The sequence below is a fragment of the Homo sapiens genome, chromosome 11 (assembly GCF_000001405.40).
Source record: "Homo sapiens chromosome 11, GRCh38.p14 Primary Assembly".
Lineage (NCBI taxonomy): Eukaryota > Metazoa > Chordata > Mammalia > Primates > Hominidae > Homo > Homo sapiens.
The window spans coordinates 58,732,148-58,758,925 of record NC_000011.10 but is presented as its reverse complement, the minus strand read 5'-3'; the positions used below and the strand labels follow the sequence as shown (position 1 = coordinate 58,758,925).

Here is a 26,778-nt window from a genome sequence, read left to right as displayed (position 1 = left end):
TTTGTAAGCCAGTGCACATTTAGTTGACCTAAAATTGTAATCCAACTTATAAATATTTGACTCAGCAGGATTTTTTTCCACATAAGTTGAATAATCGATCTCCCAACTTAGTTTCATGACATACATAATTCAGAAATAATGATTGCACATCAAAAATTGATATTTAAGTTTGCAAATAGCAAAGTATAATAAAATACTGAATACAAATATTGCAATCACTTGGTATAAGCAATTTGGTATAAGCAATTTGATTTATTCCATGTTGCCCAAACAGGAGATGACAGATGACTTTGATCACTACACCAACAGCTACCATATCTATTCTAAAGATCCCGAGAACTGTCAAGAATGCCTTGACATGTCAGGTATCATCAACTGGAAACAACATTTGCAGATCCAAAGTAAGATGACTAAGATATATTCTGGTTTCTGGGACTACCTGTGTCTACATTGCAGGTTCACTTTCGTCTGGAGAGAATTCTCTTACAAACTTTACTTTCTTCTACCAATCTCCAAACTCTTAGCTTGATGTTCATTCCTTTTATCAGCTGCCACCACCTCTTCAGTAGAGCAGGATTCAAATATTGCAAACTTTGGGGTTGATATAAGGAACTATTAGTAATATAATTTCTTGTTAGCTGAGGACTCATGATACAGTTTGCAGACACATTCAGAATCTTTTAGGGAGATTAGATGTGAGAGCTGAGCTTCTTCTCTGGTCTTCCAGTGCTGGAGTAAGGACCATAGCTCATTGTGTCACACAGCACCTCCCAGGTCAGCAAGGATGACGATGGTTACAGTTATGAGCATACCTCCTAGAGTCAGACTCCCCAGGGTGGCATCCTTGCTCTTCTTCTTACTTCATTTGTGATCCTTTGCAAGTGTCTTAACTATTACTCAGTTTCCTCACATATAAACATGAGGATAGTAAAAGACCCTAATGCATAGGGTCAATGTAAGGAATAAAAGTATTAGATCAGTACCTGGGCATGTAGTATGGGCACAATCAAGGTGGGCAACTGTTTTTTCTTTAAAAAATACTACTTTTCCTTTGATTTCACAACGATACAGTCAGGGTTTCTAGTACTATCTCTGGCCTAAAAGAAAATTTGCTCAGGGAGTCACTTGCTTATAGTCACACAGTTAGTGGCAACATCCAAAGCAAGACTGTCTCACTCTAAATTCCATCTACTTCCATCAGGCAACTTCCTGTAGCTTCTAAATGGGCATTTACTTCACTCCTGTCTAGGCTCACAGTCCAGACTGAATGAGGTAATACAAAGTCTTGTAGCTGCTAAATTGGTCAAAGTCAAAAGATCACAATGCCAGCTTTATGAAATGCCTGAGACAGCAAAGAAACTGGTTCCCTTTCTGCTAGAGACAAAGAACTTATGTTATAAATCTGGAATACTTAAGGCCATGTAAGTTTAACAAAAGATGCTCTGCACTACTCACATCTTTTTCTACTAAAGTAGCCTCCAAGATTCTCTTCCTGTGTTCACTCTTGCCTTCCTAAATTCCATTTCCAGGGTGATTCCTTTAGTATGTATTGTAGATTATGTCATTCACTTGCTTATAAGCCACCAATGTTTCTCAGCTCACTTTGAATAAAATCCAAACTCCATTATGGGTCTTGAAGGCCCCACAAGAACTGCACCCATCACCTCTTGAACTTCATCTTGTCCTTATTGCTCATGCTCACCAGCAGCTTGAACCTTCTTTCTACTACTTGATTCTCATGCACTCACACATACCTTTGAGCCATTGGATTTGTTTTTCATCTGCCTATAAAATTATTCCCTCTGATCTTCTTTTCTCTTTGCCTTTCATAAAAATATCATTTCCTTTGACACTTCTTTTCAGAGCACCCTATCTAAAACTACCCCTCCCATAATTCGCCATTATAAAACCCAATTTTTATTTTCTTTATTGCACTTATAATTACTGAAATCAGCTTACTTGTGTATTTATCTACCTGTGTGTTGTGTAAATTCTCCTCCACAATATTTCAAGTCCCATGAGAGCAGAGATCCTCTCTATACTGTTTACCGATAGATCCTCATAGCCAGAACCGTGCCTCACACATAGTATGTGCCTAATAAGTATGCACTTAATACATTCATTTTAACAAAAAGTGTTTTTAGTAAAAATAATGTAAACCAATTCTATATTTTCCCCATTGATTTATAGTCAAATACTTAGTAGAATTTCAAATTGCTGACAAAGATTTCATTTAGAGATGATTAATCTCATGGTCCTCTGTGTGTTAATGTGCCTGGAAGAGCTTTATTCACTTTGTAAAGCACCTTACAGCCCGAAAAGCACCTCTACATCCAGAATCACTGTATCCTCTTGTCCATCCTATGAGATAGATAGGATAGGAGACATTCTCTCCATTTCCTGACAGAAAGCAGACTCTGATGATGAAGTGGTTTGATAACCACATACTTGATTAAGGGTGTAACTGGGGCCTGAGTCTAGATCCAGTTCCACAGTTTGGGCTCTTTTCAGAAAGACTCCCAATCCTACTCCCAATCCCCTTTACACCACTTCAGGAGCCTTCAGACTTCAGTCCTCTTTAACACGGGTCATCTGCATTCCATATCGTTGCCTCTCTCTATACTTCAGCTTTCCCATTTGTTTAACACAGTGGCCAAGGATGCTCTGACACCAACATTCTAAGATTTCATGATTCTAAGCTCTGGCTTTACTGCCTATTAGCATGTACTTTGAGGAATCATTTATTTTCTGTTTACCCATTTTTTTCATCTATAAAATGGGGCTGATATCATCTGTCCCATCTTACACAGCAGGCCACAGAAACATCAAGAAGAACAATATTTAACTTTTATAAAATTTTAATTTTTATGGCACTGTTATAGCTCCTTGTCATGCAGTAGTTCTTATAATATCCATGTCTGTCTTTGATGGAGTTTTTTTATTATGATACTTTAAGTTATAGGGTACATGTACACAATGTGCTGGTTTGTTACATAGGTATACATGTGCCATGTTTGTTTGCTGCACCCATCAACTCATCATTTACATTAGGTATTTCTCCTAATGCTATGCCTCCCCAAGCCTCCCACCCCATGACAAGCCCTGGTGTGTGATGTTCCCCGCCCTGTGTCCAAGTCTTCTCATCGTTCAATTCCCACCTATGAGTGAGAACATGCGGTGTTTGATTTTCTGTCCTTGTGATAGTTTGCTGAGAATGACGGTTTCCAGCCTCATCTGTGTCCCTACAAAGGACATGAAATCATCCTTTTTTATGGCTGCATAGTATTCCATGGTGTCTATGTGCCACATTTTCTTAATCCAGCCTAATATTGATGGACATTTGGGTTGGTTCCAAGTCTTTGCTATTGTGAATAGTGCCACAATAAACACACATGTGCATGTGTCTTTATAGCAGCATGATTTATAATCCTTTGGGTATATACCCAGTAATGGGATTGCTGGGTCAAATGGTATTTCTAGTTCTAGATCCTTGAGGAATCACCACACTGTCTTCTGCAGTGGTTGAACTAATTTATACTCCCACCAACAGCGTAAAAGCATTACTATTTCTCCGCATCCTCTCCAGCATCTGTTGTTTTCTGACTTTTTAAGGACAGCCATTCTAATTAGCATGAGATGGTATCTCCTTGTGGTTTTGATTTGCATTTCTCTGATGACCAGTGGTGATGAGCATTTTTTCATGTGTCTGTTGGCTGCATAAATGTCTTCTTTTGAGAAGTGTCTGTTCATATCCTTTGCTCACTTTTTGATGGGGTTGTTTGTTTTTTTCTTGTAAATTTGTTTAAGTTCTTTGTAGATTCTGGATATTAGCCCTTTGTCAGATGAGTAGGTTGCAAAAATTTTCTCCCATTCTGTAGGTTGCCTGTTCACTCTGAGGGTAGTTTCTTTTGCCATGCAGAAGCTCTTTAGTTTAATTCAATCCCATTTGTCTATTTTGGCTTTTGTTGCCATTGCTTTTGGGGTTTTAGTCATGAAGTCCTTGCCCATGCCTATGTACTGAATGGTATTGCCTAGGTTTTTTTCTAGGGTTTTTATGGTTTTAAGTCTGCCATTTAAGTCTTTAATCCATGTTGAATTAATTTTTGTATAAGATGTAAGGAAGGGATCCAGTTTCAGCTTTCTACATATGGCTAGCCAGTTTTCCCAGCACCATTTATCAAATAGAGAATCTTTTCCCCATTTCTTGTGTTCATCAGGTTTTTCAAAGATCAGTTGGTTGTATATGTGTGGTGTTATTTCTGAAGCCTCTGTTCTGTTCCATTGTCTATATATCTGTTTCAGTACCAGTACCATGCTGTTTCGGTTACTGTAGCCTTGTAGTATAGTTTGAAGTCAGGTAGCATGATGCCTCCAGCTTTGTTCTTTTTGCTTAGGATTGTCTTGGGTATGTGGGCTCTATTTTGGTTCCATATGAACTTTTAAGCAGTTTTTTTCCAATTCTGTGAAGAAAGTCCTTGGTAGCTTGATGTGGATGGCATTGAATATATACATTATGTTGGGCAGTATGGTCATTTTCATGATATTAATTCTTTCTATCCATGAGCATGGAATGTTCTTCCATTTCTTTGTGTCCTCTTTTATTTTGTTGAGCAGCGATTTGTAGTTCTCCTTGAAGAGGTCCTTCACATCCCTTGTAAGTTGGATTCCTAGGTATTTTATTCTCTTTGTAGCAATTGTGAATCGGTGTTCACTCATGATTTGGCTCTCTGTTTGCCTGTTATTGGTGTATAGGAATGCTTGTGATTTTTGTATATTGATTTTGTATCCTGAGACTTTGCTGAAGTTGCTTATCAGCCTAAGGAGATTTTGGGCTGAGATGATGGGGTTTTCTAAATATACAATTATGTCATCTACAAACAGGGGCAACTTGATTCCTCTTTTCTTAATTGAATATCCTTTATTTCTTTATATTGCCTGATTGCCCTGGCAGGAACTTCCAACATTATGTTGGATAGGAGTGGTGAGAGAGGGCATCCTTGTGTTGTGCCGGCTTTCAAAGGGAATGTTTCAACTTTTTGCCCATTCAGTATAATATTAGCTGTGGGTTTGTCATAAATAGCTCTGATTATTTTGAGATACATTCTATCAATACCTATTTTATTGAGAGTTTTCAGCATGAAGCGCTGTTAAATTTTGTCAAAGTCCTTTTCTGCATCCATTGAGATAATCATGTGGTTTTTGTCATTGGTTCTGTTTATGTGATGGACTATGCTTATTTATTTGCATATGTTGAACCAGACTTGCATCCCAGGGATGAAGCCAACTTGATCATGGTGGATAAGCTTTTTTATGTGCTGCTGGATTAGGTTTGCCAGTATTTTATTGAGGATTTTTGCATCAATGATCATCAGGGATATTGGTCTAAAATTCTCGTTTTTTGTTGTATCTCAGCGAGGCTTTGGTGTCAGGATGATGCCGGCCTCATAAAATGTGTTAGGGAGGAGTACCTCTTTTTCTATTGATTGGAATAGTTTCAGAAGGAATAGTACCAGCTCCTCTTTGTACTTCTGGTAGAATTTAGCTGTGAATCTGTCTGGTCCTCAGCTTTTTTGGTTGGTAGACTATAAATTATTGCCTCAATTTCAGAGCCTGTTATGGGTCTATTCAGACATTCAACTTCTTCCTGGTTTAGTCTTGGGAGGGTGTATGTGTCCAGGAATTTATCCATCTCTTCTAGATTTTCTAGTTTATTTGCATAGAGGTGTTTATAGTATTCTTTGATGGTAGTTTGTATTTCTGTGGGATCAGTGGTGATATCCACGTTGTCATTTTTTATTGTGTCTATTTGATTCTTCTCTCTCTTTATTGGTCTTGCTAGTGGTCTATCAATTTTGTTGATATTTTCAATACACCAGCTCCTGGATTCATTGATTTTTTAAAGGGTTTTTTTGTGTCTCTATCTCCTTCAGTTATGCTCTGATCTTAGTTATTTCTTGCCTTCTGCTAGATTTGAATTTGTTTGCTCTTGCTTCTCTAGTTCTTTTAATTGTGATGTTAGGTGTCTATTTTAGATCTTTCCTGCTTTCTCTTGTGGGCATTTAGTGCTATAAATTTCCTTCTACACACTGCTTTAAATGTGTCCCAGAGATTGGTATGTTGTGTCTTTGTTCTCATTGGTTTCAAATAACATCTTTATTTTTGCCTTCATTTTGTTATTTACCCAGGAGTCATTCAGGAGCAGGTCGCTCAGTTTCCATGTAGTTGTCTGGTTTTGGGTCAGTTTCTTAATCATGAGTTCTAATTTGATTGCACTGTGGTCTGAGAGACAGTTTGTTGTGATTTCTGTTCTTTTACATTTGCTGAGGAGTGTTTTATTTCCAATTATGTGGTCTATTTTAGAATATGTGTGACGTGGTGCTGAGAAGAATGTATATTCTCTTGATTTGGGGTGGAGAGTTCTGTAGAGGTCTATTAGGTCCACATGGTGCAGAGCTGAGTTCAAATCCTGGATATCCATGTTAACTTTCTGTTTCATTGATCTGTCTAATATTGACAGTGGGGTGTTAAAGTCTCCCATTATTATTGCGTGGGAGTCTAAATCTCTTTGTATGTTTCTAAGGACTTGCTTTATGAATCTGAGTGTTCCCATATTCGGTATATATATATATATATATATATATATGTGTGTGTGTGTGTGTGTGTGTGTGTATATATGTATATATATGTACAACAAGAAGAGCTATCATATATGTGTATATATATGTATATATGTATGTATATGTATACATATACATACATATATATGTGTATATGTATATATGTATATATGTATGTGTATATATATATACACATATTTGTGAGTGTATGTATATATACATATACATGATAGTTAGCTCTTCTTGTTGAATTGATCCCTTTACCATTATGTAATGGCCTTCTTTTTCTCTTTTGATCTTTGTTGGTTTAAAGTCTGTTTTATCAGAGACTAGGATTGCAACCTCTGCTTTTTTTTTGCTTTCCATTTGCTTGGTAGATCTTCCTCCATCCCTTTATTTTGAACCTATGTGTGTCTCTGCACATGAGCTGTGTCTCCTGAATACAGCACACTGATGGGTCTTGACTCTATCCAATTTGCCAGTCTGTATCTTTTAATTGGGGCGTTTAGCCCATTTACATTTAAGGTTAATATTGTTATGTGTGAATTTGATCCTGTCATTATGAGGTTAGCTGGTTATTTTGTCATCAATTGATGCAGTTTCTTCATAGCATTGATGGTCTTTACAATTTGGCATGTTTTTGCAGTGGCTGGTCCCGGTTGTTCCTTTCCATGTTTAGTGCTTCCTTCAGGAGCTCTTTTAGGGCAGGCCTGGTGGTGACAAAACCTCTCAGCATTTGCTTGTCTGTAAAGGATTTTATTCCTCCTTCACTTATGAAGCTCACTTTGGCTGGATATGCAATTCTGGGCTAAAAATTATTTTCTTTAAGAATGTTGAATATTGGCTCCCACTCTCTTCTGGCTAGTAAGGTTTCTGGTGAGAGATCCACTGTTAGTCTGATGGGCTTCCCTTTGTGGGTAACCTGACCTTTCTCTCTGGCTGGCCTTAACATTTTTTCCTTCATTTCAACCTTGGTGAATCTGACAATTATGTGCCTTGGGGTTGCTCTTCTCAAGGAGTATCTTTGTGGTGTTCTCTGTATTTCCTGAATTTGAATGTTGGCCTGCCTTGCTAGGTTGGGGAAGTTCTCCTGGATCATATCCTGAAGAGTGTTTTCAAACTTGGTTCCATTCTCCTTGTCACTTTCAGGTACACCAATTAAACGTAGATTTGGTCTTTCACATAGTCCCATATTTTTGGAAGCTTTGTTCATTTTTTTTTTCACTTTTTTCTCTAAACTTGTCTTCTTGCTTTATTTCATTAATTTGATCTTCAATCACTGATATTCTTTCTTCCACTTGATCAAAACAGCTATTGAAGCTTGTGCATGCATCACGAAGTTCTCGTGCCACGGTTTTCAGCTCCATATGGTCATTTGAGGTCTTCTCTACACTGTTTATTCCACTTAGCCATTCACCTAACCTTTTTTCAAAGCTTTTAGCTTCCTTGTGATGGGTTAGAACATGACCCTTTAGCTTGGAGAAGTTTGTTATTACCGACCTTCTGAAGCTTACTTCTGTCAACTCATCAAAGTCATTCTCCATCCAGCTTTTTTCTGTTGCTGGTGAGGAGCTTTGATCCTTTGGAGGAGAAGAGGAGCCCTGGTTTTTAGAATTTTCAGCTTTTCTGCTCTGATTTCTCCCCGTCTTTGTGGTTTTATCTACCTTTGGTCTTTGATGTTGGTGAACTGTTACAGATGGGGTTTTTGGATGGATGTCCTTTCTGTTGATGTTCATGCTTTTCCTTTCTGTGTGTTAGTTTTCCTTCTAACAGTCAGGTCCCTCAGCTGCAGGTCTGTTGGAGTTTGCTGGATGTCCACTCTGTGCTCTGTTTGCCTGGGTATCACCAGTGGAGGCTGCAGAACAGCAAATATTACAGAACAACAAATATTGCTGCCTGGTCCTTCCTCAGGAAGATTTGTCCCAGAGGGGCACTTGCCTGTATGAGGTGTCTGTCGGCCCCTACTGAGAGATGTCTCCCAGTTAGGCTATATGGGGGTCAGGGACCCACTTGAGGAGGCCATCCGTCCATTCTCAGAGCTCAAACTCCATGCTGGGAGAACCATTGCTCTCTTCAGAGCTGTCAGACAGGGATGTTTAAGTCTGCACAAGTTTCTGTTGCCTGTTTTTCAGCTATGCCCTACCCACAGAGGTGGTGTCTATAGAGGCAGTAGGCCTTGCTGAGCTGTGGTGGGCTCTGCCCAGTTTGAGCTTCTTGGCCACTTTATCTACTCAAGACTCAGCAATGGCAGACACCCCTCTCCCCACCAGGCTTCAGCCTCATTGGTTGATCTCAGACTGCTGTGCTAGCAGTGAACAAGGCACCATGGGTGTGGGACCTGCTAAGCCAGGCACAGGAGAGAATCTGACAGTTGCTAAGACAGTGGGAAAAGTGCAGTATTTGGGCAGAAGTGTCCCATTTTTTCAGGTAGAGTCTGTCATGGCTTCCCTTGGCTAGGAAAGGGAAATCCCCTGAAACCTTGTGCTTCCAGGGTGAGACGATGCCCTCCCCAGCTTCAGTTTGCCCTCTGTGGGCTGTACCCATTGTCCAACCAGCCCTAATGAGATGAACCAGGTACTTCAGTTGGAAATGCCAAAATCACCCATCTTCTGTGTTGATCACACTGGGAGCTGCAGACTGGAGATATTCCTATTCGGCCATCTTGAAATAGACCTCTATGGAGTTGTTATTAATATATCCATGTTATGTCAGAAGAAATGGTGGCAGAGAGATTCTAAGTTACCTGTTCAAGATCACACAGACAGTCATATTATGAACCCAGGCAGTCTGGCTGCAGAGACTATACCCTTATCTGTGTTCCTATTTGCCTTTCAAGACAATTTAAGGGAATACAAATATCCATCACAGTATGTGTGATATTTTGGGCTTTTCTTTTCCCCTTCTATCAATAGTAACCAAGAGATGTTTAAACTCTCATCTCTGAAAACCACCCATGCTTCCTTGATGAATAAATTCTGGCATTTTGGTGGCAATGAGAGGAACCAGAGATTCATTGAGTGCTGTATTCAGAACCTCCCATTCTGCTGTCTGCTGGGGCCTGAAAGGACCACGGTGTCCTGGTTTGTAATGGACCATACTGGAGAGCTGTGGATGGCAGCCATCATGCCTGAGTCCCGGGGCCAGGGCCTCATGTCCTATCTTATCTGGTCCCAGTTCCAGATTCTGGACAAACTTGGCTTCCCCCTATATTACCATGCAGACAGAGCCAACAAATGTGTACAGGGTGTAAGTCATGCTCTGCATCATATTCTCATGCCCTGTGACCAGAACCAATGAAACTGTGTTTCTCTGTGAAGCTAGCCCTGAACATAAGACAGTGTTGTGTGGAATGTGCATGCGAGTGGAGGAGTGTATGGTGGACAGAGAGAAAGGATGAATTTTAATAAACAGGAAAGGAGTGGATGATATTTGGGCTCTGGGGAAGCAGTGTGAATGGTCAATAGGTCTTCCTTGGTCCCTGCACTTGAATTCTCCTTCCAATCTAGCAGACATGGTATGGCCAAATCTTCCTGTAGTGGTCTCTGATTTTGTTCAATTTCCTATACCTCTAGATCTCCGTGACACTTTTTATTCAGCTGCATGCTGCCCTGGTGCCTCTCTTGGAACTCATGTCTTACATGTGGATTGTTGATAATGGGTAGATTTTGCCAGTTTTGATGAGATATGGTATTATCTTTTGGGTAGTATAATTTTTCCCTGTTTTTCTATGACCTCTTCATTTAGTAGCCAGAGTGTGTCCTTTGTCTCTCAGAGGTATTTTGAAGTGATTATTTTATGGCTAGCCCTTTGATCTGCTTAATAATCACATTAACATGTATGAAAAATATGTGACATTAGATGTATATGACACCTGGGGAAGTTATTAAGAGAAAGACTAGCTGTTGGTAGGACTTTTTCTCACTGCCACCCCAGGAAAGTGAGACTGGTATTACCTTTCTAAAGTTGGGTGAAATTTCATCCCCATGATCACCTTACTATAAAGAAATCTTATGTTTGATTGTGGAAGTTAAGATTGAGTGTCCATCAGTTAGAGGCCATGGAGATGGGATAGTGGGAAGAGAGAGAGATACATATGTATCATTAGTGACAAGTATTCAATTAGACTAATGTAGCCCACTTATACAACCTTTATTTAATGTATATATTTTGGGGGCACATGTGATATTTGGTAAATGTATACAATGTGAAATCATCAAATGACAATAATTCGGATATCCATCACTTCAAACATTCATCTTTTCTTTGTGTTGGGAACATTACAATGCCTCTCTTCTAGCTATTTTGAATTATGCAATAAAATATTATTATGTATAATAATGTTTCTTTTCTTTCTTTTTATTCAATCCTCTGTTATTTCTTTTTTAAAATTTATTTTCTTGAGGAAAATTCTAGGGACTGGAAGTAGTGACATTGAAATGAGCCATGATTATTCTGCTTATTGACATGACATTTTTATGTCCTTTCTGCATGCTGGCAATATCAAACACATGTACCAAATTCTCAACAATTTGCTTGTTTCAATAACAGCAATAAATATTAACTGATTGCCAAGCACTGTTCTGGGCATTTTGGATACATACTGAACAAAATATAGATCGCTTGCAGGGCTTACATTCTAGTGATCACCTATTAATATAAAAATAAAACATACCAGTAATATGATATAAACACTGAGGGCATGGGGCAGCATATTACAGTGATTAGGATGGAGCTAAACTCCCTGGATGAAGATCCCAGATCTTCCTTTTATCAACTATAAAGTTGGGCAAATTATTTAACATCACTGTGCTCATAGCTTCTTTATGTACAAAATGAAGTATTATTTATTGAAAGGATCAAATGAATGAGAAAATATAAATAAAAACTTAGAGCAATGCCTGGCACATGTTAAACATTCCAAAAATGTTACTTAAAATATTTGTTATAAAACATCAGGACAGGTGCAATATGAAGTGAAGATTATTATATAGTGTATCCGTGAGAGGAGCAGTCAACAAATTCAAACTAAGCTATAAGATTTTCAGATTATAATTTACAAATCGGATTCAAAATAGTCTTGTACCAATTTATCATCTACCAGCTGTATATGTTCTGTAATCCTGGAGTCAGAAAACCTAAATTTAAAAACATATCCAGTGTTCTGGGTCCACCTTTAGGATACACCTTTGTCTGTGGGGCAAATGGCCAACCATGAACCTATAAATGCATAGACAGCTGGTGCATAGGAAGTACTTGTTTTCTTGGGCGTTTAGTTGCTCATTTCTGTGTCCATAACTCTAGTGATGCCTGGCAAAGAACCAGCTTTTTAGAAGTTTTTGCTAGAACAAAAAGATTGATATTAGGTCTTTTCCAAGATAAATATTTATCAGGCAGCCTACCATATGGTGTAGGATATTTCATTGGGTGAATTATCTTGTCCTGTGGTGAATTATCTTGTGGGGACTTGCCATGCATGAACATATGATTAGGAACCTTTCCATCACCCTAAGAAGGTTTGCCAATGTGACTGCATTGGTCATAGTGGCTCAACAGAGAGTGATAGATTCTTTGGCTTGAGCAGTACTAGATAATTGAATTGCTCTAGACTATACCCTGGCTGAACAAGGAAGTATTTGTGTTATGGCTAATACATCATGCTGTGTTTACATTAATACTTCTGCAGAAGTTGAGACCCATCTAGATAAAATTAGACAAGAAGCTGCTTGGTTCCAGGAAGTGTCCCATAACAAACCTGGATAGAGAGAGTCTACTTAAACTAGGAATTACAATTCTATGTGTATTGGGATTTCTTTTCCTTCAGGTCTGTAGCTGCTGTCTATCTTGTACTTTTAAATCAATTTCCTCTGCTAATGGAATGATTATATGATCTATTAGTTCATTTTCACACACTGCTATGAAGATTGTACTCAAGACTGGGTAATTTATAAACAAAGGAGATTTAATTGACTCATAGTTCCACATGGCTGAGGAGGCTTCAGAAAACTTACAATCATTGTGGAAGGGGAAGTAGTCATGTCTTACATGGCAGCAGGCAACACAGAGAGATAAGTGAGAACACAGGAAAAAAACTGCCATTTTCTCATCAGATCTCATAAGAATTCACTCGCTATCACTAGAACAGTGCGGGGGAAACTGCCCCCGTGACCCAATCACTTTCCTCCCCCTACATGTGGGGATTACAATTCGAGATGAGATTTGAGTGGAGACACAGAGCCAAACCATATCGCATGATATGCAAAAGAGTTATCTGACCCATCTGTTTGACTATAACCTGGGATCTATGAGTATTTACAATTATATGCAAACAATTTCATTCCTTAGACCCAGACCCACACCTCCTTTCAGCAGGAAATAACTACAGTGGTTGTTGCCCAAATCCCTCAAGATTAAGGAATGAATTAAAAAATGAAGGATTTGTAACCAGCCCATACTGGCCCTACTCCATTGATAACAGAAGGTCAGGTTATCTTGTAGGTATGACAGAGCCCAAACTGCAAGTCATACAGAGGAGGCATGCACAACTGAGAAAAAAAAAAAAAAAAAAAAAAAAAAAAAGCTGTGACCTCTAACAACACCAGGAACCAGTGTTTCCTCTCTGTGGAACAAAGACCAGGACATGACCAGAACCTGAATACTGGAAGCCTTTAAGAAGCAAGGGGTCCATTGGCCAGAAAGCTTGGGCTAAAATCTGCCTCAACATACCTTACCATATATGGTCAGATTTGAAGCCTTTCACTCAGACCCTGCCAAGCCAACATTCCTAATATTCCCCAAACCCTTTGATCCCTTAAAACATGCCCAGACCCCAAATCAGGAAGACAGATTTTAGCCACACCTCCTATCTCCTTGATTGATGGCTTTGTAATAAAGTCTTTCTTTTCTCAAAAGCCAGTGTCATAGTGATGGCTTCTGTGCACACTGGGTACTGAGCTCATTGTTTAATAAAAATTCTATGTGTGTTTTTATAGCTAAAGATACAAGATACAAGACCCAACTATATGTTAATTTCATTTACTTAACTATATATACCCAACTATATGAAGGTAGTGTATATTTGGGTCTTGTATCTTTATCCATTCAGCCACTCTGTGACTTTTATTTGGGGAATTGAGGCCATTTACATTTAATGTTATTATTGATAAGTAATGACTTACTGTTGCCATTTTGTTGCTTGTTTTCTGGTTGCTTTTGAGGATCCTCTTCTTTTCTTCCTTCCTTACTGTCTTCCTCTGTGGTTAAGTGATTATGTGCAATACTGTATTTTAATTTGTTGCTTTTTATTTTAGTGAATCTATTATAGGTTTTTGAACTGTTGTTACTATGAGTCTTACAGAAAACACAGATATAACAAGTTATTTTACAGAGATAACTTATCTTAGATCACAAATAAAAGAATAGAAATAAAGACAAAACCCACACATAAAAATTCTGTACATTAACTTTGTCTCCCCTACATTTTAACTTTTAGTTCTTTCAACTTACATATTTTTATATTACCTATTTCTGAATGGGTTGCTGTAGCTATTATTATTTTAGATAGATTTGTCCTTTGGGCTTTATACTAGAGTTATGAGTGGATTGCACACCACACATGAAATAGCTGAGTATTCTGGGTTTCTTCGTGTACTTAATTTTACCAGTGAGTTTTTTACCCTAAAGAGATTTCTTGCATATTAGTGTTTTTTTCTTTCAGACTGAAGAACTCCCTTTAGCATTTCTTGCAAGATAGGTCTTGTGGTGGTAAATTCTCCCAGCTTTTGTTTGTCTGAGAAAAATTTTATCTATTTCAAATTTCAATGATGGTTATTCTAGGTACAATATTCTTGGGTGCAGTTTGTTTTTCTTTGAGTATTTAAAAATGCCATTTCTCTCCATCCTTGATGGTATAATTTCCATTGAGAAGTATGTTGGCAGGCAAATTGGAGTTCCTTAATATGTTATTTTCTTCTTATCTTTCACTGCTTTAGAATCTTCTCTTTTTCCTTGCTCTTTGAGAGTTTGAATACTAGATAACTTGGGGTAGTGTTATCTGGGTTAAATCTATACGGTGTTCTAAGATCTTCCTGTACCTAAATATTTATATCTTTCTCAAATTTTGGAAAGATTTTTGTTATTATTTCTTTAAATAAGCTTTCTATCCCTTGCTCTTGCTCAACTCCCTCTTGAACACCAACAATTCTTCATTTGGTCTTTTGAGTCTATTTCTATATTTTGTAGATGGTCTTCATTACTTTTTATTTGTTCTTTCTTCTCTCTTACTGTGTATTTTCAAATAGCCAGTGTTTGAGGTCAGTGATCCTTTCCTATGCTTGGTTTATTCTGCTGTTGAAAGCCTCTAAATACCTCTTCAGTTCAGCAAATGTATTTCTCAGTTTCAAGATTTCTGTTTGATTTTGTTTTTATTATTTCAATATCTGTCAAATTTATCTGATACATTTCTTAATGGCTTTTTTGTGTAATTGATGCAGGATTTTTTGCTCCTTGGTTCAGCTAAATCTGAGTTCTTGTCTCACAACTAGGAAAAATTAGGCATGAGGACAAATTAGATTAGGAGGACAAATTGAAATTGAAATTAAAATTAATTAATTTAATTGATTATTTAATAATCAAATAATCAATTAAATAATTAATTAATTCAATTAATTAAATTAATTAAAATTAGGCATGAGAACACATTGAAAGATGTAGATTAAAATTAAAATTAGGCATGAGGACACATTGAAAGGTGGAATTTATTAAGTGAAAGGAAAGCTCTTAGCAAAGACTGGGGTCTTTCACACAGGTTTCCACCTCACGAATTGAATACCAGGCCACCATACATGAGCTTAAGAGGCCAGGCTTCTCCCCTGCATAAGGCATGAATTTCTGGTGGCTGCATCCCATTTCCCCACTGCATGTGGGCAGGAACCTGTGCAGGTTCCCTTATCTGCACAAAGGATCAGTGTAAATACATGTGGGGCAGGTTGGAGATTCTCCAGGGAACCTTCCTTATCTGTCTAAGCATTTGTCTGCTTCCCACCTCTGTCACTCTCTGCTGTAAAGAGGTGCATCTAACTGCTACTGGAATACGGATAAAGACAAATCTTAACTGCTTCCTGCTGACAGGGGGCGCTGTTTTAGGAAGAAGGCAGTCAGATCTCCCTGAGAGACCTGTCTAAGAGTCCCCAGTAAAAGGGGCCATCATCTGAGGCTCTGGTTGCATGACTATTTGGAGTCATGGCCTGGAAGCAAGAGGGAACAAACTTGGTTATTATAAAACATGTATCAAAACAAAACAAGGGAGGGGGTAAGGACAGCTAAAAAATCCCAATGCTATCAACATGTCCACATAACTGGTGGCTATAGTTACACCTGCTAAGATTTGGGTACATGGGGCTCAGCTTTGGTTAGTTCTCTTGGTCTTATTTTCCCAAACAAAGAAACCTCTGGGTTATGGACATTCTATTTACTCCCATCACCTGGCAAGATTTGCAGGATAATTGTCCAGAACTAGAATATCCAGATTTTTACATTATCCATACTTTTTCATTTCTTCTGGGCTGAAATTGGAGATTGCTGGTTGGTTCACAGGAGTAAGCAGGGTTAGTTTAAAATGTGGGCAAGAACTTAAAAACAACCAATGAGTCTAGAATTTAATAAAAACTGTATGATAAGTTTTGAAACATAATTTCTCTCTCTCCAGTCTTCATTTTTGTTAAAAACAAATTATGATAGGACTGACTTGTTTGCAAAAGAGATTTTAGTCTTATACTTGGACTGATTATTTGCATAAAGTGCAGCAAGAATAATTATTTTTACATAACTTGGGTATCCACTTTTAGTTAAACTGAGCACTCATTAAGAAAGCCCTTTTAAATTCCTTATTACCCAACTTTAGCCACACCAAGCAGCCGATATTTTTGGCTTTTGAACTTTACCAGAAGTAACCTCAGAGGCGAAACCAACAAACCTCAACTAAGATTATGACTTAACTGGGAGTGTGTAAGACATTCTCAAAGAGGTGGCAAGCAGTTTTTACAAAATCTAGAAGCTTTAAAGGTAGCTCAGAGAAGGAAAGATTCAAGAAAGGAGGCTAGAAATGGTTCATGGAGGGGAATAGAATCAGCAAATGGCAAAAGTCACACAGGTATTAACTAGTAAGTACTCATTCCCTAAGCCGGGAATGAACCCAGGCTACTATTGCAAAATGGCAGAGGCTAAAACAAAGTACTGCCATGTCATTACAGGTCATGCTCCCAAGGAAGTAAAACAAGATGGAGGCCTGCAGCAAAATTTGTTGCTGACCACTTTGCCAGGCTGACTTGAGCAGTGGGCTTACAGGGTCCTAGGCCCACATCTTATCCTAAGATACCAGTCTTTCTGACAGAACTATACAGAAGGACATACAAAGCACACCAGATTGGCTACAGCTTAAGACAAACCTCATAAATCCATTTTCATTAATCAAAACTTTACAGCAAATATAAACAGTGATTCTTACCATTCCTTTTACTGGTTTGCACAGGAAGAGGCAGGCCAAAATTCCAACTGGTAAAAAAATCTTTTACCCTAGTGCTGGCATGTCAGGCTTCTAGGTTCCCTTCCTCTGAGCCTAATTCTAACCCAACCAGTTTAAGATTTGGGAAATTAACTTTTCCCAGTTTGAGGGATGCATTCAAGGGGAATGTCCTGTAGTACAGTAACACGATTCCCCTTCTGGGAAGACAGGACCAAGTGGGAAAAAGGAAAAAAAAGACATTTTTTCAAAAGAGCCCCAGGACTCAGGATGCATTTGAAAGGGGTGCAGACCGAAGATAAATGGCTACTCATCTAGAAAGAGGGGAGCCATCTGTCCCTAATTCCTCACTCTTCCTAGCAAATACCTGGAGTGTGTGAGGGAGAGAAGGAAAATGTGTCCTCTTTCCTTCTTTCATCCTTATATACTAAGTCCCTGTGACCTCAACAGGATGCCACTCATGGGTGCCAATGTGACTTTCACCCATGTTAACAGGGAACCTAGGAGGTGGGATTATGGGCTCTTACCCATGCACTGCATTTCCCCCTGCTGTCCATAGCCTTCAAGTCCTTAGACCTCATTTATGCCATGGATACTAGCATGACCTCTATCCATGAAATGGGAAACTTGTGAATTGGGGTCTGACCTGATAAAAAACCTTTCAAGAAAAACAAAACAAAACAAAAAACACTGGCATAGAGAAGCCTCCTCTACTCACAGGGCTGTGTTACTAGGTTGGTGCAAAAGCAATCATGGTCCCCACCATTCTAAGTAATGGCAAAAACTGCAACTACCTTCACACCAACACATTAACTCTTGACCTAGGGGAGAAAATTAAAAAAAAAAAAACTGCTGGCAGGGTAGAGAACGGAGGAAAAATTCTTAAGTGCAGGGCTGTGTTAACTGCTGACAGGTTGGAGAAAAGATAAAGATGCCTGGGAGAAGAAGCCTATTATTCTTATGCAAATGGATTTCTCCACAGGGAGAGAAACTTTTAATTGCTTTCAATTAAAAGTTCAACTGAGCTGGACCCCTCAGCCAGGGAGGAGAAGACTCCTGTGGATGCGTGACACGGAATAATGGCCAGCTGGTCGCTCAGGGCTTCTGGCCCCTGAGACCACTCTGGGGCTCTGGCAGCAGCTGTGGCTCAGTCCTACCCTGCATAACAGTTGGATGTCGCATGCACATGCAGCAGACATGGCCATGTGCCCCAGCCAGAAGGGAAGTGGGGCAGGAAGCTGCCACTCACCAGTTCTTCCCATGTGCACCTGTGGCCATTGGGGTTGGGGTGGAACACTCCCAATATTGTAAAAGAAAAGATAGGTGCCATTACACTCCTGGAAAAACAGAAGGAAGATGCCTAGAAAACACTGGGTTGCACTGAGGCTGACATTCCTGATCCCCGAGAGCAACAGGGGTTGGGGTGGGGGTAGTTTCCCCTGACTTCAGAAAAAGTCTGAGGACAAGAAAGCTCAGAAAACAAAGTGAAAGAGATTTTTGGGTTTGCATTTTTTTCACTCTTCTGATGTATTCCTGTACTGGCCACAAAAATGTTGCAGGATTTTTTGCTCATGAGTTCAGCTAAATTCAGGTTCTTGTCTCATGACTAGGAAAAATTAGGCATGTGGACACATTGAAAGGTGAGGAGGGTGGAATTTATTAAGTGAAAGGAAAGCTCTCAGCAAAGAGAGGGGTCCTGCATGCAGGTTTCCACCTCACAGATTGAATACCAGGCTACCACACAACAGCTGAAGGAGCCAGGCTCCTCCTCCGCATAAGGTGTGAATTTCTGGTGGCTCCATCCCATTCCCCCACTGCATGTGGGCCTCCTGTCTTTTGTGGGAATGTTCAGGCAAGACCCTGTGTGGGTTCCCTTATCTGCACAAAAACATCTGGTGTAAATACTTGTAGGGCAGGTTGGAGATTCTCCAGGCAACCCTCCTTATCTGCCTAGGCATTTGTCTTCCTCCTGCCTCTATCACTATCTTGGAGATCACTGAGTTTCTTTAAAACTGCTCTTTTGAATTCGCAGTCAAAGAGTTCACAAATCACTGTTTTCTTAGAGTCAGTCACTAGATTTTTGCTCTGCCCTTTTGGGAAAGTCATGATTCCTTGTTTGCTGTTGTTTATTGTGGTTATAAGTCTATGTCTTTTCATTGAATGACTAGTTATTTATTAGTTTTCTCTGTCTGGCTTGGTTTAGTTTTTATTGAATATATTTGTTTACGGAATCTCCACTACTAGATCTCTGCCTCCTTTTCAACTGTACATGGTGCCTTAAGTCCAGGTTTACCTCAGCTCTAGTATTAATAATTGGCCCAAGCACTGCCTGTCCCAAATAGAAGACCTTCCAAAGGGATTATCTGGCAGTAAAGGGAAGGCTGGCTAGGCTTTTGCTCTCAGGAGACTTGTGGAACAAATCTCCTACAGCCACTCTGATTTGGCATCTCCTTTGGCTGAGTTACAGAGCAGAGTTTCCAGGGCCATGGATGGTAGACACCCCCTGTTCATCTCTGCCTGTCCTCATGGATATTTGTCCCTTTAGGAAGTTATGGTGCCACTTGTCACTTGAAATAAAGGACATGCCTGCTTCCAGGGAATCCAAGAAGGTGAGGAAGCTGGTTTACCATCTCAGTTTTAATATTTCCAGTGCTGAAACCATGAGTTGGTAGGAGATTTTCTGTGTGCCTGGCAGAATGGTGGGGAGGGGCATTGTGGATGTGCAAGTCTGATTCTCCTAACATCTTCTCAAAGTCTTTCTACTTCTCTGTTGCCCCAGGAACTGTCTCATCCTCATACTTGAGCTCTGGGTTGTTGCTAGTGTAGTTCCTGGTGCTGTATATTTGTTTGTTTGTGTGTGTGTGTGTGGGGGGGGGGGGTAGGGTAGAGAAGCCAGCTTGCCTCTACATTGCAATTTTGGAACTAGGAGTTTTCAGAAGTTCTCCATTTTCTTATTAATCTTCTGTTTGGATGTTCTATTTATTATTGATAGTGGGATATTGAAATCCCCTGTTATTATTGTTTTGCTATTTATTTCCCCCTTTAGTTCTGTCAATGTTTGCTTCACATATTTGGGTGCTATGATGTTGGGGACACAGACATCCTATTCTGCTATCTTGCTAACTCTGATTGTTATTAAGATTTTCATTTTATCTTTGGTTTTTAGAAATAATTAAATATGCTAATTAAAGCATATTTCTAGGTTTCTGTTTATTCTGATTAAGATTTGTTGATATCTTGGGATCTGTATGTTGATGATATTAATTAAATAATTTCATGTGTTGCTGGGGCCTATTATTATTTTATTTAGAATTTTTGAATATTAGAACAGGAATTAAATTATCAGACATTTGTAAATTTCCTTGACCTAAACTATTACCTTTAGCTCTATGGCCCTTCATTACTCTCTTTCACAAAGTCACATAGTATCAACTTATTAGCTAGTCACCAACAACCAATTTATCTAGAAATATCTCTAACCATACTTAATTCCCATGACATAAACTGATGTAAGATAACTAGCCCAATATACTCAGCCCCAGCATCAACAGGCATGAGATGGATTTTCTTGTTAACCATTTATTTAGCCCTGACATCACCTGAAATCAGGTGGAAAATGCATTAGAAAAAGACAGCCCTTGAGCTTTGATGGAAGTGGCCTTATCAGGGTAATTTTTCTGTAAGTATGGCTGTTAAACTGCAATTAAGTAATCCCTAAATACATGTTTCTCAACTAAAATGACATTATCCTCCATGAAAAGTAATTGGAAAGTTACATCAACTAGAAATCTTAATATAAGATTCTCCACAGAATCTCTGAAAGAGAATAGTTCATAGAAATTGACTGTAGACCCAACATTTCCAACAACAGAAAGACACCTTCATTGAAACTGACAGATTTCACCCAGAATCAGATTATTCCAGTTGTGCAGAAACACTGATTGTCACACTCTCCTTTACATACTTTGTTGTTTATTTTTTTAATTTTCTGAGTCTTTTAAACTTTTTACTGATTTGAAGTCATACAATTTTTATTTTTTTACAGTGTTATACATACTAATATTAATGACTTCAATATGACCAGTCTATAATTTAGATATCCCAAACTATTGTAAATACAGCCAATTTAGAAAATTATGGAATAGGACAACAATGGGAAAAAACAATTAATGGCCATATTTGCAATTGACGCTTCTAAAATAAATTTTGATTAAGAATATTTTAATCAAAAATTGCCTTAATATAACTATAGATAAACATCTAGGGTAAGGTTGCTACAACTCTATTTATGCAAATAACATGACTCAACCTCATCATATGAATCACTTCAACCTCAATAGATATTTGTCTTTTGTCAGTTTTTAATGATATTTTTCTTTTTAGAGATACTGTAAGTCAAATAATGAAGAAACTCATACATATGAACCATTAATAATTTTTAACAAAATAAATAGAAGTGCAACATATTAAGCATAGAAAACCCTGAGAATGAAATAATGGCTGTTATGGACTGAATATTTGTTTTTCTTAAAATTTATATGTTGTAATCGTAAACCCCAATAAGTTGGTATTAGGAGGTGGGACTTTTATGAGGTAATTAGGTCATGAAGGTGGAGTCCTTGTGAATGGAATTAGTGGACTTATTAAAGAGACCCCAGAGCTCTCTCTCTCTCTCTCATTCTTTCTGTCAAGGGAGAACACATCAAGAGGATGGCAGTCTATGAACCAGGAAGCAAACCCTCACCAGACAGACAGTATTGTGACCTTTTGATTTTCAACTTTTCAGTTTCCAGAACTGTGAGAAACAAATGTTTGCTGTCTAAGCCACTCAGTTTATAGTATTTTTGTCACAGCAGCCTGAACAGACTAAGACAATAGTATATTACATTAACCTTACCATCAATGCACCTTTTGTAACCAATGTAAGTACAGGAAATGTCCTTGTGCGAGAAAATGAGATACACATATTCTTGGGATGTAACTGAGAGTGTTTGTCATGTCAAAACCCAGAAAAAATAATCTTGCAGCCCCACTAAAGTTGATTACTCTCTTGTGAAGCATCTGAGATCTTCTTTACAATCACGGGACTCTGGCTCTTCTGTGCCAATCAAGGATAATGATTATTTGTCCTCTGAGCATCTCAGACCATTCTGAGTGTTTGGCTGTTCGATATCTTTAATAGATTTTTTCTCCTTACAAAGAACCTGAAGTGAGAAAACCTTTAAGTATGCAGCATAACTGGCAGAATGGATTCATGATAATGAATGATCCTACACATATAAAGTGTCCATGTAGGATGGTCATGTTATTTTATCCTTTAATTTAGTTGACAAAATAAATAACTGAGACCATAAACTGTCCCCTTACCGATCAGAATAATCAGTGTAAATTATATAGTCTAACCAGTTATGAGTAATTGAACAATTTTTTCCAATCATTGCTAACCCTTCATGTCATACCTGGATTAATGGCACCAGTAAGATGGAAGAATGCATGTCTCAATTAAGAAAATACAGCCTTAATACTGTTTCTTCCTAGGATTTAAAAGGTGGAAAAAGCATTGTTTTCACCCTGATGATAAGACAAGGCTGGACAAACTACAAAAACCACACATGTTCTGAAACTCTTTAGGTATAAGAAGGTACAGGGTAACCAAGTTTCTAAATTTCAAAAAAAAAAGAGGCAGGAATTTCTGAAATAAGAAAGGATACATGTACTTTCTCAACTGTGGTAGAGTACAAGAAGAAGGTGGCTTCCATGCAAGTAAATTTTTAAAATTAGTTAAAATTTTATTCAATTGCTGAAGGCCAAATCTTAGCTACCATGAGAATACAGAACTTCTGGGAGCCTCAGACACAAGAGCAATTCCACCTACTCATGTATTTTTGCATGGACCTTCCCCAGGTGCCAACATTAAGTATTAGAGACAAGCAGAAAACCAGAAAGTGCCTCCCCTTGGTTCTGGAGGGAATGTCATGAGAAAAAGACATGAAGCCCAACTCCTGCCTGGATTCTCTTCTCCTATAAAGTAAAACCCTTAGTCTGCTGGTGAATGGGCCACAAACCCTGCCACCTTCAAGGCACAAGTAAAGACCCAGTATTGCTAGAGATGGGTAAAATACATAAAGGTTTTCTACCTCTATAGGGGCAGGAGATTGTCCTCAGCTCAGGATCCTATTCTAACATTAGTAAGTGTATGCCACCATGGGGGTGTGGTAGTGTCTTAGACCATTTGCTTTGCTATTAAGGAATGCTGGAGGCTGGATAATTTAGGAATAAAAGAGATTTACTTGTCTCATGGTTATGCAGGCTGTACAAGAAGTATGGTGCCAGCACCTTCTTCTGGTGAGGGCATCAGGCTACTTCCACACATGGCATAAGGTGAAAGGGAACTGGTGTGTGCAGAGATCACATGGGAGTGAGGAAGCAAGAGATAGAGACGGGGGAGGTGCCAGGCTGTTTTTAACAATCAGTTCTGTGGGAACTAATAGAGTGAGAACTCACCTGTTACCACAAAAATGGCACCAAGCCATTCATGAAGGATCTGCCCCAAGGTCAGACACCTCTCACCAGGCCCCACCTCCAACACTGGGGATCAGATTTCAATGTGAGATTTGGAGGGAACAAACAAAGCATATCTAATCCATAGTATTCCTCCTCCGGCCTCCCAAGTCAAACGTCCTTTTCACATTGCAAAATATAATCATTCCATCCCAATAGTTTCCAAAAGTCCTAACTTGTTCCAGAACCAACTCAAAAGTCTAAAGGTCTAAAGTCTCATCTGAGATTCAAGGCAAGCTATTTCCACTTATGAACTTTTGAAATAAAAAACAAATTATTTGGTCCAAGAGGCAATGGTTATACAAGCATTGTGTAAATGGGTAGATAACACTCTGTTATGTGATATCTGCCATAGAGACAAGGCTGAGATTGGTTGTCATGGGGATCAGAAATAGGGATGCTGAGAAAGCCCCGCCTCAAGCATACAGGGCCTGTTTAACCAGGACAAGAGAGAATTTTCCCTTCTGTCACACCATCAGCCTGAAAAGCACTAAGTAATGCACTTCTCTTTTAGATACTAAGTTGCAGTCACTTCCTTCAACAAGTCTTCAAGAAATAATATATTTTGGGATTTTTTGTTATTTTCACAGTTTAGAACTCTTTCTCTCCAGGGTAAGAGGGGAACAACTTTTGAACATTTTGAAGTAAGCCTGGTGGGGTTTTCTCATCTCTGGAAACTTCCATGTTGATTACCAGCTCATACAATAGAAGTTCTTCTTTTACACTCCAAAATCAGCTTCTGAGAAGATGGAGGTGATTTGCTTCAGTTCCTTTGATCAGTTATCAAGTTATGTGTTAGTATTTGGCTATGTGGCTATATGTTTATTTTTTATTTTTAGAGACAGGGTCTTGCTATGTTGCCCAGCCTGGTCTCAAACTCCCAGGCTCAAGCAATCCTTCTGCTTACCATCCTGAGTAGCTGGGACTAACAGGCATGCACCACCGTACCATGCCTGGCTCATTTGACTATATTTTAATATAGTGTTATCAGGTATAATTTCTGAGTAACAGATGTTCCATATGGAGGCAAACCTCATCCGACACTGTGATGCAAGTATGTGTGCACTAATATATAGAATAAACTAGTCTAAAAAGTCCAAAATAGATTTTTGACATGTAATGAATTAAGGGAGTTATTAAGAGTCTTTTTGCAAGGGGCAGGGGGCAGTGTACATATATTTCTGCAATATAAATTTTTCTCTCCACTGTCTCATGAGTCTTATGAAAACTGACTTGACCTAGAACCTTAGGGAAAAAATATTCACTAAATATTTCATGCACGCATTTGTATATGCATAATGCACTGTATTAAATAATTATTTACTAAATAAAGCATTTCTATGTGCTTACCATATATCGGGAAGTTGTCTAAGCAATTATGACTATACATATCTAAATTAAGAAAAGACAATCTTAGTTCTGATGCTACTTAGGATTTATAAGGCTGGAAAAAGCATTGCTCCCACAGTAGTGATGAGAAAAATCTGAATAAACTACAAAATCAGTCACGTTCTGAAATTCATTAGGGATCTGAGGGCATGGGCAATCAAGTATCCTGAATTCCAATTAAGCATAGGCCCTGCTTAGGTAAGAAAGGACACAGGAGGACCACTTAATTTTTCTTTAAGACCCTGCAAAGATTCCTAAGGGGAATTATTTAATTCCCTTTATTGATACAGAAATGGAGGCAAGAAAAGGTGAAATCATTTGCTCAAGGTCACACAATAGGTAAGTCGTACAATCAAGATGTCAGCCTGTTAGTTTGGGGGTAGTCATGCTGCAAGCCACTCTGCTATGCTACCTCTGTCATCATTGCTAGCACTTCAATTCAGACCCCAGAGAAAAACCACTTAGAATACTAAGACTGATGCTGGAGCTCCCGAACCTTTTCCCTTGTATCTGATCCCAAAATGTGTGAGGTTTATGTCTGTTATCACATATAACATAGTAAGAATAAGAACCACAGAGTCAAACAAAAGCAAGAAAAATCCTTGGTTACCTAGTACAACACACTTTTTACAGCTAGGGCAACAGCCCAGGGAGGTTAAGAGACTCTAGTCAAAGATTTGAGGGTGAGAGACACCACTGAATCCTGGTCTATTGCCTGGCTGTGTGAGTGTAGGAGCTAAAGTGACAGAATAGGAGGGGTCTGGTTTCTGGGCTTGGGATAAAGGAGTACCCCACTCTTTTGTTGCAGTTAGATATATCCTTTGTGAGATATGAACCCTATTGGAGTCAAGAGATCCACCGGGTTAATAAATGATAGAACAATCTCAGTCGCTTTGAAGAAAGAGTAATGGAAGGTTATAATGACTTCAATCTCAGGGGAAAAGATGGAGAATTAATGTTCTAGGAGTGGCAGGGCTCCTAGACAGTACAGAGAAAAATATGTGAAAACTTGCTCTGTGCTGATCCATTAAGTGAAGGAACACACACACACTTTTTGTCCCTCTTTCTCAACCTAGCCTCTTGTGTCCCTGCTCCTCTGATTAGAGTGTCTGTTGCTTCCTCTACAATAAAGATATTTACTAACCTGGGAATGAGGTGGTGAGAACAAGGACCTGGAGAGTGTCAAACTCCCCATCTTGGCTGTTTTACACAGTGAAATTGAGGCTCAAATTATCTTTGCTGTGAACCCTCCTTTCTTTTCTGAGCAAGTGGAAAGTATAGTAATTAGGACTTCGGAGTGAAAAAGCTCTGGGCTTAACATCTAACCAGTTCAACCATGCTGAGATCTCAATGGTCCTTCTCTATAAAAGTGAGACTAAGAAGTGCTCACATTGAATCATTGTCAGAATGTTTCACTGCAGCTTCAAAATGGGCATGGGAGGGGGCACAACTTGTCTTTAAAAAGGAAGATTCTAACAGCTTTCATCACTCCATGCAAGTAATTTGCTATTTTATTGCATTCTGCAAATCAGATATCATTCATATCTTTCCCACTGCCTTGCTTCTATTACAGATACTTGAATGGGAAAGAGGTGAGGGTAGTGCCTACATAATCTGACCCTCCTTCCAGTATCTGGCCTGTTGGTTTCACACAGCTTTGGTTTTCATGGTATTTCCATGACCTGTGAGGACAAA

General features: G+C 38.8%; 1 pseudogene; it reads left to right on the top strand.

Annotated features, from left to right (window-relative positions):
• LOC100420019 (glycine-N-acyltransferase pseudogene) lies at positions 269-9,929 on the top strand (annotated as a pseudogene).